Source organism: Homo sapiens, chromosome 9 (genome assembly GCF_000001405.40).
Source record: "Homo sapiens chromosome 9, GRCh38.p14 Primary Assembly".
Taxonomy (NCBI): domain Eukaryota; kingdom Metazoa; phylum Chordata; class Mammalia; order Primates; family Hominidae; genus Homo; species Homo sapiens.
In genome coordinates this window covers 92,161,030-92,176,006 of record NC_000009.12, presented here as the reverse complement: position 1 = coordinate 92,176,006, position 14,977 = coordinate 92,161,030, and the positions used below count along the sequence as shown (strand labels likewise).

At 44.7% G+C, this 14,977-nt stretch overlaps 1 pseudogene, besides 1 other annotated feature; it reads right to left on the bottom strand.

Annotated features, from left to right (window-relative positions):
- Positions 2,427–2,526: a silencer, noted in NCBI's record as "silent region_20030". NCBI's record gives its function as "represses an Ori minimal core promoter by ATAC-STARR-seq in GM12878 lymphoblastoid cells {active_cell/tissue: GM12878}" and the evidence as "EXISTENCE:reporter gene assay evidence [ECO:0000049][PMID:35858748]".
- BEND3P2 (BEN domain containing 3 pseudogene 2) lies at positions 2,513–4,776 on the bottom strand (annotated as a pseudogene).

Here is a 14,977-nt window from a genome sequence, read left to right as displayed (position 1 = left end):
CGCCATCCAAAAGTTTCAGTGCACATTGTCCCCAGTCTTGGTATTGGCCACATTTCCTGTACCCTCACAGGCAAGGGGCACAGATAGACTCACATGCATGTCAACACTAGGACCTCACTGGCTTAAACCCTCTACTACTCATGCAGGAATTCTCACCCCAAAATAATATTGTGAGGCCTGAAGAAAGTGTCTTCCCAGTATCCACTCCTGTAGGGGTATTTCCAGCAGTCCCTGCCTCTGACCAGAGCTCCACCACTGAGGTACTGCCATGCCTAGTAATATGTCCACTACTAGTGTCCAGCCTTAGAGCTCAGCGGTCTCCACAGAAAGTGTTCCCTCCCCTGGTGGTAAGCTCAGTTATGGGGTCTCAGAGCAGGGCTGCTCAGGACTCTGAGAGGTCAGTGAGTTACCAAGACAGCATGTGCTCCACGCATGTTCTCCAGAAGGTCAGGGGAGCTTGGGCAGTTCTGTTTAGAGTATTAGCCACTCCACTGTCCCCAGAGCCACTATTCTCCTTTGTGGCAGCCACAGGCTGGCTGTGTCCTGAGGGCCTGCCTGTTATACACCTTATGCCAGGGGTTAGGTGATTTCCTGTCCTCCTGGATGCTCTCAGGCCTCTAAACCAAAGGGTGGGGATACATACCTAGTCCACGCGACAGATCAAACAAATCTCAGTTCCTGCACAGTTAGTTTCCCTGTTTCTTGAAACCAATGTAAGTGCTCAGTATCCTTATCCTGGTTTAGTTTATTTTTAAAGATAAACTGCAGCCTATTAGGGTTGAGTAGGTTTTTTTTTTTTTTAGATGGAGTCTCGCTCTGTCGCCCAGGCTGGAGTGCAGTGGCGCAATCTCCGCTCATCGCAAACTCCACCTCCCGGATTCACACCGTTCTACTGCCTCATTCTCCCGCCTCATTCTCCCGAGTAGCTGGGACTACAGGCACCCGCCACCATGCCCAGCTAATTTTTTAAATTTTTAGTAGAGACGGGGTTTCACCATGTTAGCCAGGATGGTCTCACTCTCCTGACCTCGTGATCCACCCGCCTCAGCCTCCCAAAGTGCTGGGAATACAGGCGTGAGCCACCACACCCGGCCAGGGTTGAGTGGCTTTTTAAAGATATCATAGGTAGTATGTAGTGGAACAGAAATTCAAACTGAGATCTCTCTTGAGAGAGCTCAATCACTGTTCTTTCCACACCCACAGACTGCACCCAAGATGCCTTTTATCCAAGCCTCAGACACCTGAGGGAGGCTTACTCTGACCTGTCCCCAAAGTGAGCCTCAGATATCCACTCCTGAAGAGAGAGACGAGTAGGGCATGGAGGGCCCTAGAGTCATCATCAGGGCCCCCCTGTTCTCCCAGATGGTGCACGGGCATGGGCTGCTGCTTTTGTTGCCAAAGTCATCCCCAGACAAGCTATGGGAGTGAAATGAAATGAACCAAGATCAATTAAAGACTTCCAGTTTCCAGTCTGGAGTATAAGAAGCTTGGAAGTCATCACTCCCATTCTCAAAACAAGAAAAAAAAAAGCTGAACAAACTGAAAGTCAACAACTCTTCTTAGATCTGTCAGAGAATTGAGGTCACAGGGCAGATTACTACCCTCAAAACTGGAGACAGGCAGATACAGAGAATCACGGTTAATCTGAAGGGAAGCTCAGATGTAAAAGCTGGCTATTGGAGCCAATCCCAGGGTAGAAAAACCTAAACTGTAATTGACAAAGTGCTGAGGGTTCAATGTGGATGAGCTTGACAGTTAAAAACTCCATGTCCAGTCTTAGGAGAGCCCCAACTTTCAGGAGTTTTACCTTCAGTAGCCTTACCAGATTCTCAGGGTGTAGATCAGAGAAAAACCCCCTCCTGATTTTGGCAGGACGATGGGAAAAGTAACCATTTTGAAATAAAAGCAGAACATTAGTTCTACTTTGCAAAAACCTATCCTTAACAGAAAATATTTTTACCAGAGCCTAATGTATTGGGGTTTTATCAGAGTCTAACTGAGTTGCGGAAAGAGAAGTGTCAAACTCCAGTTCCCTGTGCCTTCCTGTCCCACCAGGGACACGGGCTACTGAGAAGCACATGTGCAGGTCACAGCCTAGGAGCATAGGCTCACTGTGCACTGTGCCTGGAACCTAATTACAGGATTATCGAACATTTCCTCTCCCACATAAGTGCCTCCTCACCACATCAGTAGGACTTTTGTATAATAAGGGAATTATAATGGAAGGAATTGACTGTCTCAGCACTTATTTAAGAAGGAGTCTCTAGGGAAACTCAAAGACAAGCGGGGAGATACTAACAAGGACACCTGAGTACATTTTGCCTCTGACACCTACAGCAACACCAAACAGTGAAGACAGTCTAACTACCAGCCAGATAAACACAAGAGCCTTACACAAAAGACCTCTTTACCTCTGTTCCTTTTGCCCAGTGTATCATGTCTCACTTTCAACCAAAAAAAGGGAACTAAAAGGTACTAAAAGTGAGCACACTAAAAGTGTACTAAAAAGTCTGCAGATGAGCCACAGCTGCGTAGGGTCCAGCTGCTTCTTGTTGCAAGCCCGGGAATGATTGTACTGCAGCGGGAGGTTCTTGGCAGTGGAGGAGCCCTGCAGCCAAGTTGCCCACGGAGAGGCTCTGCTGCATGATCTCGCGCACCTCCTTGTCGGACAGCAGGTAGGGAGAGGGCACCGGGAAGCTGGGCGAGGGACCACCACCTTGTCCAAGGGGATCTTGCAAAAGTCCTTCCTGCTCCTCTTGGGGGCAGCGGGGGACCCTCAAACTCCTCCTCAAACCTCTCAGGGTTGATTGCATAGCTCCTCATGTCTCTGCACTGGGGGCCAGCACGTGGACCTTGCACTGCTGCTGGTAGGAGCGCCTCTGCTCGTGTCCCGGCGCAGGTTGCCCATGAACTCCAGGGTCCAGAAGCGGTCGTTTTTGGCATGGAGGTAGAGCAGACACACATACTGGCGAATGAGCTTGATGCAGGACAGGTCCAGCTGCTTCTTGCCCAGGGAACCGCTGGAGCTGTACTGCTTGTGCAGGTTCTCATGGGTGAAGAGCTTGGGGAACAGGGGCACCAGCAGGTGCAAGGCGAAGTTGCCAATGGACAGGCTGCTCTCATAGATGCTGTGCAGATGCTCCTTGCTGAGCAGGCAGTCGGTGCCAGGCACCTCCAAATTGGGCTGGGGGATCTCCAATTTGTCCAGGTTGATGAGTACCAGCCAGATCTTCTTGGAGCGGCGCTGCTCGCCCTTGGAGCTATCCTCCACCCTGATTACTGAGATGTCATCGGGAGGCTGGAGGAGTTGTAGCAGTCATCACGTGGGGGGCTCGTCTTCACTGCCCGCATCCAGCCTCAGGCCCTGGAGCTTGTCGTTGATGCGCTGGGCACACTGCTGCAGCCAGGCCTCCTCCTCCTGCATATGGGAGAAGTAGACCTCTGTGTAGTTGCAGATGATCTGCAGCCTCTGCGGCTCCAGCTCCTGCTTGCTGCCATCCCCATAGCAGCTGTAGTACTCGCCCAGCTTGCAGTGGTCAAAGAGCTCAGGGAAGAGCCAGTGGAGGAGGAAGACAGCATATTCGCTGGGCGAAGAGGCTTCATCCAGGAACTCGGTGAGGTCCTGCATGTCCACCACGTGGTCTGAGGCCATGGTGCTGCTCCGGTCCAGAGACAGGCCGTCCTCCTCGTCTTTGTGGTCCAGGAAGTGGCCGGGGTCCACTGCTCGGCCTCAAAGAAGCTGGCAGCCTGGCCACCGGGCTGGCTGTTCTCCATCTCCCTCTGGGCCCAGAAGTGGCTGAAGAAGTTATTCAGCTGGGGCAAGCACTCGGCCTGTCACACGGCCATGTCCTTCACCGAGGGGTAGTAGACCTCCACGTAGTTGTGGATGAGCTGCAGGTGCAGTGACTCCAACTTACGCTTGGCCTCAAAGCTACAGGCACTGCAGCCTCGGGAGAAGTCAACTGCAGCTGAAGAGCTTGGGGAAGAGCTGCACCAGTGGGCAGCCTGCCAAGACCCCACCCGACAGGCTCTGGTCCACCATCTGCTTGAGCTCTGCGGCCCATGAGCTGCTATGCGGTGGTGGGGGCAGCTGGAATTTGGCCACCATCTCAGTGGGGTTCACCTTCAGGGAGAGTATGTCCATTGTGCTGTGCAGCTGGGACCTGTTAGACTTGAGGGTGTTGAACATGTAGAATATCTTCTGGATCAGGAAGTAGATGTTAGGGTCACTGTTGGTGGCCACCCCAGTGCTGCCATAGTCCCACTTCTGTGGCTCATTCAGGAGCCTAAGTGACGAGGGTCTGTTGCTGGCATTTACCTTCTGGAAGAGCTCATATATGTTTAGCAGGTCCCCTGAGGGACGGTTCTTCTTCTCCATGAACTTGTGTGAGGTGCCATACATAGGCTTTTTGTAGTAAGGGGTGGTGGCATGGTTGCAGAGCTCCTCCTTGCCTGGCCACACAGAGCCTGAGCTCCTGCCCTGCTGGCCTGCTCTCCATTGCCTTGGCAGGGCTAGATTTTCTCAGGTTCCACATTCGTGCTAGGAGCACCTCTGGGATCAGCTGCCTCCTCTCTATGCTGGGGACGGACTCTGGCTGGCCATTGCTGACCAGTCAAGTCCTGGAGGGCAGTGAAGATGCTTTCCAGAGGGTGTTTCTCAGAAGTCCTGGAATTCATGGAGCTGCCTAGAGCAGCAACTTTGGCCTGTCTCCACTCTCACTTCTTAGAAGTTCTTCTACATCTTCACTGAATTCAGTTGAGTTCATCTTCTGTTCCAGTGGGACTCGAGTTCTGTACTTTACTGAGCAGCCTGAGCCAAGTTTAGGCACCCAGTGGTGGGGAGGGTATGGGGCCAGGGAGTGGGAGCAGTGCACAAAGGGCCTGGCCAGGGCGGCTGGGGGAGGCGCCGGGGGCGGCAGACAGCCAGGCACCGTGTATTTCCCCTCTCTTTGTGAGTGTCTGTGTGCTGCGCTCTCATGTGACATGACAGGACTCCATGTGACATTTCTGCACAGGGACACAGGAGCCCTTGCTGCAATGGAACTGCAAACCCTCCACCCACACCTCCGGCCCACCCCTCCCCCTCAGTGGGGCACACGAGGGCTATTTCCTTCTTATTTATTTATTTTTTATTCTTTTCTTCCTAGACTGCTCAGCAGAATAGAATAATATCATGTATATGTGGGTTTCAGAAATTTTAATTCTTTATTTCTAGGGTTCTTGCATATACTTGGGATGTATATTTGTGAGTAGCATGGATATAAGTGTATTTTTAAATAGGAGTTGTTTTAGGATGCTTTGGGGTTGAAAGTATATGCATAGTTTATGATGTGATAGAGTTTAGAGGTATTGATTAAGGGAAGTGTTTTATGAATTTTGTCAAATGTATTTTCTGAAATAATTGATATTTTTCCTTTATTCTATCAATGTGGTGTACTGCACTGATTGATTTTGTGCATTGAAACCATCTTTGTTGAATGGTGTTGAACTATCAGTACCATTGATGTTGAACCATCTTTGCTCTCCAGGAATATATCCCACCTATTCCTGGTGGATAATCTTTTAATGCACTGTTGTGTTTGGTTTGCTAGTATTTTGTTGAGAATTTTTGAATCAATATTATAAGGGATATTGTTTGCTAGTGTTCTTTTATTGCAGTGTCTTTGGCTTTGGTATCAGACAATGCTGGCCTTGTAGAGTGAGTTTGGAAGTGTTACCTCCTCTTCAATTTATTGGAACAGTTTGAGAAGGATTGATGTTAATTCTTCCCTAAATGTTGGTAGAATATACCAGTAAATTCACCTAGTCCTGGGCTTTTCTTGGTTGGGAAGTTTTTGATTACTGATTCAATCACCTGATGAGTTATAGGCTTCAGATTTTCCATTTCTTCATGATTCAACCTTGGTAGATTGTGTTTTTGTAGTATTTGTCTATTGCATGTAGATCATCCATTTGTTGACATACAATCATTCATAGTTCTCTCTTATCTTTTTTATTTCTGTGAAATCAGCAATATCCCCTCTTTCATTTTGAATTTTAGTTGTCTTCTCTCTTTTGTCTTGGGTAACCTAGCTAAAGATTTGTTAGTTTTTTTGTTTTCTTTTTTTTTTTTTTTTTTTGAGACAGAGTCTAGCTCTGCCGCCCAGGCTGGAGTGCAGTGGCGTGATCTCAGCACACTGCAAGCTCTGCCTCCCAGGTTCAAGCAATTCAGCCTCCTGAATAGCTGAGACTACAGGTGCATGCCATGATGCCTGGCTAATTTTTGTGTTTTTAGTAGAGACGGGTTTCACCATATTGGCCATATTGGCCAGGCTGGTCTCAAACTCCTGACCTTAGATGATCCACCCACCTTGGCCTCCCAAAGTGCTGGGATTACAGGTATGAGCCACTGCACCCAGCCCTTGTTTTTTCATTTGTTGGTTTTGTTTTGTTTTTTCTTTGTTTTGTTTTTTTTCAAAGAACACATGATTTTGTTGATTTCCTTTTTTTTTTTTTTTGAGATGGAGCCTCGCTCAGTCACCCAGGCTGGAGTGCAGTGGTGCGATCTTGGCTCACTGCAAGCTCTGCCTCCTAGGTTCAGGCATTCTCCTGCCTCAGCCTCCCGAGTAGCTGGGACTACAGGTGCCTGCAACCATGCCTGGCTAATTTTTTTTTTTTTTGTATTTTTAGTAGAGATGGGGTTTCACCATGTTATCCCAGATGGTCTCGATCTCCTGACCTTGTGATCTGCCCGCCTTGGCCTCCCAAAGTGCTGGGATTACAGGCGTGAGCCACCGCGCCTGGCCTGATTTCCTATTTTTTAAAAAATTTTCTATTTTATTTCTGTGCCCTAACCTTTATTGTTACTTTTCTCTGCCAGCTTTGGGTTTAGTTAGTTTTTTGTTTTTTGGTTTTTTTTTTTTAGTTTATTAAGATGTAAAGTTTCATCATTAATTTGAGATCTTTCTTCTTTTCTAATCGAAGTGTTTACAGTTATACATTTCCCCTAGAACTGCTTTTGCTGGCTGCCATAAATTTTGGTATATTGTATTTTCATTCAAAGATACTGTCTAATTTACCTTGTAATTTCTTCTTCGATCCATTGTTTGTTTAAGAATATGTTGTTTGAGGCCAGGTGTGGTGGCTCATGCCTGTAATCCCAGCACTTTGTGAGGCTGAGTTGGGCAGATCACCTGAGGTCAGGAGTTCAAGACCAGCCTGGCCAACATGGTGAAACCCTGTCTCTACTAAAAATACAAAAATTAGCCAGGCTGGTGGCGGGGGCCTGTAATCCCAGCTACTCACGAGGCTGAGACAGGAGAATCACTTGAACACAGGAGGCAGAGGTTGCAGTGAGCCGAGATCATGCCATTGCACTCTAGCCTGGGCAACAAGAGCAAAACTCAGTCTCAAAAAAAAAGAGAAAGGTTGTTTGATTTCCACATATATGTGGATTCTTCTGCTGTTTATTTCTAGTTTGATTACATTTTTATCAGAAAAGGTATTTTCTATGATTTAAATGTTTTTAAACTATTAAGACCTATTTTTTGGCCTACCATAGTCTGTCCTGGAAAATGTTCCATGTGCACTTGAGAAAAATGTGTATATCTTCTTGGTGAGTTCATGCTTTTATCATTATACAGTGTTCATGTACCTTATACCAGTTTTTGACTTAAAGTCTATTTTGTCTAATGTTGCTATAGTCACCCCAATCTCTCTCTTTTTTCTTTTTTTTTTTTTTTTTGTTTGAGATGGAGTCTCGCTCTGTCACCAGGCTGGAGTGCAGTGGCGCGATCTTGGCTCACTGCAACCTCTGACTCCCTGGTTCAAGTGATTCTCCTGCCTCAGCCTCCCGAGTAGCTGGGATTACAGGCACACACCACCATGCCCAGCTAATTTTTGTATTTTTTAATAGAGATGGGGTTTCACCATGTTGGCCAGGATGATCTCGATCTCCTGACCTCATGATCTGCCCACCTTGGTCTCCCAAAGTGCTGGGATTACAGGCGTGAGCCACCGCGCTTGGTCTTAATCTCTTTTTATTACTATTTGCATAGGGTGCTGTTTTGCGGGGGTGGAGCCATCAAACCATGTTTTTCTTCTGCTTTCAAACCACCAAGACAGTCATCAACATAGAAGATGTCTGTAACCAAACTGTATGGGATTCTCCCCACCAGCAAGCAGTAGACACTAGCTGGGTATCCTCCAATTAAATTCTGTCACTATCTACCTGGGCATAATGTCAGACCCCACAGGTTGAAGGCTCAGTTTCCAAGACTGCTCCCCCACCAACCACTAGTTACAACTCTGGGCCTCCAGAACTTCTGATTGACAGGCTTCAAGTTGGGGTTCCCTCTTTGGGATGGATTAATTTGCTGGAGTGGCTTACAGAGCTCAGGAAAGCACTTAATGTTTGCCAGTTTATTCTAAAGCAGCCATCCCCAACCTTTTCGGCACCAGGGACTGGTTTCATGGAAGAGGTGAGGGAAGATTAGATCCTACCTTGGGACAGGTGAAGGGAAGACAAGAGGAGTCAGAAAGATTCTGTTTCCTGAGACCTACACCTAAGGCCTAACACACCCAACATTAGAATCAGAGGTACCTTTTTATATTATTTTACTTTCAACCTATTTGTGTCTTTATCTTTTTTTTTTTTTTGAAATGGAGTCTTGTTCTGTCACCCAGGCTAGAGTGCAGTGGCGCAATCTCGGCTCACTGCAACCTCTGCCTCCCAAGTTAGAGTGATTCTCCTGCCTCATCCTCCTGAGTAGATGTAGCTGGAACTACAGGTGTGCACCACCATGCCCAGCTAATTTTTGTATTTTTAGTAGAGTTGGGGTTTCACCACGTTGGCCAGGCTGGTCTTAAACTCCTGACCTTAAGTGATCTGCCTGCCTTGGCCTCCCAAAGTGCTGGGTTAACAGGTGTGATCCACTGTACCTGGCCCTGTTTGTGTCTTTTTTTTTTTTTTTTTTTGGAGATGGAGCCTTGCTCTGTTGTCCAGGCTGGAGTGCAGTGGCATGATTTTGGCTCCTTGGAACCTCTGCCTCCTGCAAGCAATTCTTGTGCCTCAGCCTCCCAAGTAGTTGGGATTACCGATGCACGCCACCATGCCCAGTTAATTTTTATATTTTTAGCAGAGACAGGGTTTCACCATGTTGACCAGGCTGGTCTCGAACTCCTGACCTCAAGTGATCTGCTCTTCTCTGCCTCCCAAAGTGCTGGGATTACAGGTGTGAGCCACTGTGGCCAGCGTCCTATTTGTGTCTTTAGATCTAAAGTGAGTCTGTGTAGATATTCTCTAGTTGAATCATATTTTTAAAAAATCAATTCTGCCAATTTATGTTTTTTAATTGCAGAGTTTAATACATTTACAACTAAAGTAATTACTGATAGGGAAGAACTGACTATTGCCATTTATTTTCTTTTAAGTCCTATTGCTTTTTTTGTCCTTCATTTCCTCCATTATTGCCTTTTTGTGTAGTTGATTTTTGTAGTGAAATATTTTGATTTCCTTCCCATTTCCTTTTGTGTACATTCTATTGATATTTGTGGTTGCTATGGGGATTACATATAGCATCCTACATGTGTAACAGTGTATTTTAAATTGGTACCGGCTAATTCCGATCACAATTTAAAAACTCTACTCCTTTACAACACCACCCACCATTTTATATTATTGATGTTACAGTTACATCTTTATATATTGTGTACCCATTACTATATAATTATTTTTATGCTTTTGTCTTTTAAATTATGTAGAAGAATAAAAAGTGAAGTTATAAGCCAAAAACTGATTTTTATATTTATCCATAGATTTGCCTTTATGGAAAATCTGTATTTTTACATGGCTTCTAGTTACTGTCTAGCATCCTTTATTCCTTTTGAAGTATTCCCTTTAGCATTTCTTGTAGGGCAGGTCCTTCAGCTTTTATCTGGAATATCTTAATTTCTCCCTCACTTTTGAAGGACAGTTTTGTTAGATATAGAATTTTTGGTTGTTTTTTTTCCTCAGCATTTTAATTATACCATCCCACTAACTTCTGGACTGTACAACTTCTGCTGAGAAATATGCTGATAATTTCCTTGAGGAAGTATCTTGTGCTGCTTTAACAGAATGCCTGAGACTGGGCAATTTATACTGAGCAGAAATTTACTGGCTAACAGTTGTTGAGACCAAGAAATCCAGTATCGAGGTGCTGGCATATTGTGAGGGTCTTCTTCCATGTCACCTTCTTACTGTGTGATCCCATGGTGACAAGCATCACGTGGCAGAAGAGCAACAGGGGTGAGAGAGAGAGACAAAGGGAACCTGAACTTCCCATTTTCTGGTGACATTCATCCCACCAATGAGGGTAGAGCCATCATGGCCTAGTCATCTCAAAAGTTTCACATCTTACTAGTGTTACAGTGTCAACTGAATTTCAACATGAGTTTTAGAGGGGACAGACATTCAAACTGTAGCACCATGTATGTGATAAGTTGCTTTTTCCTTATTGCTTTCAAGAGTCTCTTTTTGTCTTTCAACAATTTATGTATTTTATTGTGTATTTCTTCAGATTTTATTAAGTTTCTTGGATTTACGTGTCTATGTCTTTCGTCAAATTTGGGAAGTTTTGGGTCATTATTTCTTGAAATAATCTGCCTATCTCCTTCCCCTTTCTCTATGTCTTATCCTACTAAGACCCACCTGCCCCATAATGCATGTATTGGTCTACCTGATGGCACCCCATAAATTCCTTATGCTCTGTTCACTTTTCTTTATTCTTTTTTCTTTTTGCTCCTCAGATTCAGTAGGGCCTGTCTTCAGGTTCACTGATTCCTTCTTCTGCCTGTTTGAATCTGTTGATGAATTCTGATGAATTTTTCAATTCAGATGTGAGATTTTTCAGCTCCAGAATTTGTTTGGTTATTTTTATATAAATTCTGTTTGTTGATATTTTCATTTTGCTCATATATCATTTTCCTGGTTTGGGCGGGGGGTTCTTTGTGTTTTTCTTTTGCTCTTTAAGCATATTTAAGACAGTAGTTTTAAAGTATTTGCTAGTAAGCCTGATGCCTTTTATCTTCAGGAACAACTTTTAGAGGGTTATTTTGTGCCTGTGAGTGGGCCATGTTTTCTCGTTTCTTGTGACCTTTCGTTGAAAACTGGCAGTTGAAAAAACAGCCACCTCTGTCTTTATAGACTGGCTCTGTATAGGGGAAGATCTTCAAGTATCAGTTCATCATGAACACTTAAAGTCTTCTCAGGTCTTTTCTGGGCATATGTCTTCCCTGTGTGCATGCCTTTCTCCAGTCCACCTTATACACAGCTGCTTTTCATGACGTCATTTCTGTGAGTGTCACCCCTGCCTCTTCCCAGGGTCTTAGCAGTTCTACTGTATTTCTCAATCACTAACCTCTTGCCCCAGGCATCTGCAGGTCTGTAATCCCCCTGAAGCTTTCATAAGTTACATTTCACAGCTTTGTCCAGTCTGAGGTGTGCTTCATTTGGCCATCTGAGCTCTCAGTTAGGTGACACAGAGATTAATCAGGCAATCCCTGGACAGATTAGAATGTTGCAAATTTGGCCTACCCTGCTCTCTCTGCTCAGTTGCCCCATAGGGTAACTGGGGACTGGGTTGCTGCTTCCCCCAAATCATACTGTACAGTTCCAGGGAGGGAGTAGGGCAAGGGCAAATTAAAATGCCATGAACTTTTTTTACTGTTTTGAATATAACTTTTTCTTGATTGGGCTTTTGCTTGGTTGCTGTAATCTTTACTGATTTCAAGGGCTCCTATAAGGCTATTTTAGCCAGTATTTAGATGTTTATTCTACATTTATATGGGGGATTTCTGGAAGCTTCCTAGTCTTCCATCTTGCTGACATTACTCCTCTAACCCTCCTATTTTAAGATCAGTGCATTAGCAGCCTTAATTTCATCTGAAATTGTAGTTCCTTTTTGCCATGTAACCTAACATTTTGACAGGTTCTGGGAGTTAGGACACAGACATTTTTTTCAGACATGAGTAAATTTAATGTAGTATCTTGAATGGGATCCTGGAACAGAAAAAGAACATTGGGGAAAAGCTAATGAAATTTTAATTAGATACAGAGTTTAGCTAATAGTAAACTATAATAATACCAATGTTGGTTCATTAGCTATGACTAACGTACGTTGGTAATGTAAGATGTAAACAATGGCAGACATAGGATGTAGAGTATATTGGAACAATCTGTACTGTCTTTGCAACTTTTCTGTAAATCTAAAGCTTTTCTAAAATTAAAAATTTATTTAAAAGAAAAGAGTAACTATAATATATAATAAAACTCTGTAGTACTTTTGGACTGAGGTAGAGTACTCAAAGAAGGACAAGCTTGAAAGGGGGACCCCTCCCCAAGTCTGAGGTTCAGACCTCACTGGAGAAGGTACAGTTGCAACCCACTGGGAGGTAGAGACATTTGCTGATTTTCCCAGGCGAGTTGGCCCTCAGTTGCTAGTTGGGCAGGCAGGAAGCAACTTCGGGGTGCAGGAAACCCGGCATGCAGGTTTTCAGAGGGAGGAAGGTGCCAATGGCAACCCTCTGCAGTGCAGGTGGGGTGCAGGTGAGCAAAGGAAGTGAATGCATTAGCGGGACTGGAGGAATAGTGAGTGCTGTGTCTATGTCCAGAGGGCAAGAGACAGGCCAGGCTCTGAGGTCACTGAGTGACTCCCCTCTGGGCACATGACTGGGCAGAGCACCCACCTCATACCACTTCTCAACTTTATGGCCCCAGAAGCAGCAGGACAGCCCGTTTCTCCTTGCAGTGTTCTCCAAGCACCCTCTACTGAGAAAACTATAAACCAAAAGTACCTGAGCCTAGTCTCAATTAATTTGGGAGTTTATTTTGCCAAAGCTAAGGACATGCCTGTGACAAGCCTCAGGAGGCCCTGATGACATGTGCCCATGGTAGTCAGCCTACAAATTGGTTTATAAACTATGTCTTTTAGGAAGAAATAAGACATCAAACAATATATGTAAGATATACATTGGTTCAGTCTGGAAAGGCAGGACAACCGGAAGCAGAGGCTTCCTGGTCATAGCAGATTCAAAGATTTTCTAATTAGCAATTGGTTATTATCTAAAGAGCTGGAATCAACAGAAAAGAATGTCTGGGTTACAGTAAAGGGTTGTGGAAAAACCAAGGTTTTTATCTTCTTTCCTAGTGTCCCAAGATTCCTTCTTTTATTGCTTACTGTTTGTCTAGAGAACTTCCTTTAACCATTCTTTTGAAGGAATCTATTGGCAATACTTTCTCTTAGTTTTCTATTGTCTTCGAACGTTCTAATTTTCTCTTCATTCCTGAAGGGTATATTTTGCTGGGCATAGGATTCTGGGTTGATGTTTCTTTCCATTCAGTACTTGAAAACTGTCCAACCATTTCCTTAGGGCCTTATGGCTTCTGATGAAGAATCTGCTAATTTTTGTATTTTTAGTAGAGACGGGGTTTCACCATGTTGGCCAGGCTGGTCTTGAACCCCTGACCTCAGGTGATCCACCTGCCTGTGCCTCTCAAAGTGCTGGGATTACAGGTGTGAGCCACCATGTCTGGCTCTCGCTGCTTTTAAAATATTTTTGTTGTCTCTAGTCTTTATACTTTTACTATGATATGTGCATTTCATAAGTTTGACTATAATGTGTCTTAATGTGGATTTCTTTCCATTTATCCCATTTAAGATTTGCTCAGCTTCTTGAATCTATAGTTTTGTCCTTTGCCAAATTTGGGAAGTGTTCAGACACTCTTTCTTTGTGTACTTTCCGCACCCACCCTCTCCCTTCTTCTCTTCCAGGACTGTTGACACAAACTTTAGAACTTTTCTTATTGTCCTACAGGCCCTGAAGCTCTGTTCATTTTGTGTGTGTGTGTGTGTGTGTGTGTGTGTGTGTGTGTGTGTGTGTGTGTATTTTCTGACTATAGGTTGAGTAATTTTATTGTTCTACATCCCTGAAGCTCTGTTCATTTGTTTGGTCTATTTTCTGACTATTATTTAGATTGGGTAATTTTATTGTTCTATATTCAAGTGGCAAACAGTCTTCCAGGTGCAGTATCATCTGATTATTCCCTCTGCCCCCCTGTTCTGTGGTTTAGTGTTTCATTTTGTTATTGTATGTTTTAGCCCTAACATTTCTTTTTGTTTCTTTTATAAATCTGCTGTTTATTTGCAGCAATTTTCTGGGTTTTTTTTTTTTTCATTTGCTTAAATCTGTCCACAATTGCATAAATGGAAACACATTTTTGATGATGGCTGACTTAAAATCTTTGTCAGATAATTCTAGCATCACTGTCATCTCAATTTCAACATCTACTGATTTTGTGTTTTAATTTGCTTTGAAGTATTCTGCTTTCTTCATATGAGTGATTTTTCTATTGCAATCTGGTCATTCGGGATATTATGAGATTCTGTGTATGATCTGAATCTTCTGTTCTGGCTGGTTTTAGCTGGCATCCCTCCAGCAGGTGAAGGAGAAGACACTTTGGTACTGTTCGGTGAGGGTATAATCCATCTTTCCACTTGAGCTCCATCAATACACACAGGGGGGCCTTTATTACAGCATAGGTGAGGATAGCAATCCTGGCTCCCCATTGGGGTGCCCATTGATACCCCGATGCCTGGGAGAGGTAGACATTCCTCCTTACTGGCCGCATGTGACCTCCACAGACAATACAGGACGTGGGGGTGGCCTGGTCATCTCTGGGCAACAGCAAAATTCTTTATTCTCCACTAGTCCTCCACGGATACTATTCAGTGCTGGAGGGCAGGGAATGTGGGTTTATTCCCTGCAGACAGGAAGCAAGGGTGGTAGAAGATGAGCAGCAAATCATCTGAAGTGCGTTTATTCCCCGCAGACAGGAAGCAAGGGTGGTAGAAGATGAAGGTGCTTGTAAGCCAGTCCCCCAGGCCCAGGAAAGCTGCAAGGAGGGGACGGAGTCGCATCTACCCTTTGCTGTAACCAAGGGATCCCAGAAAGCAGCCCG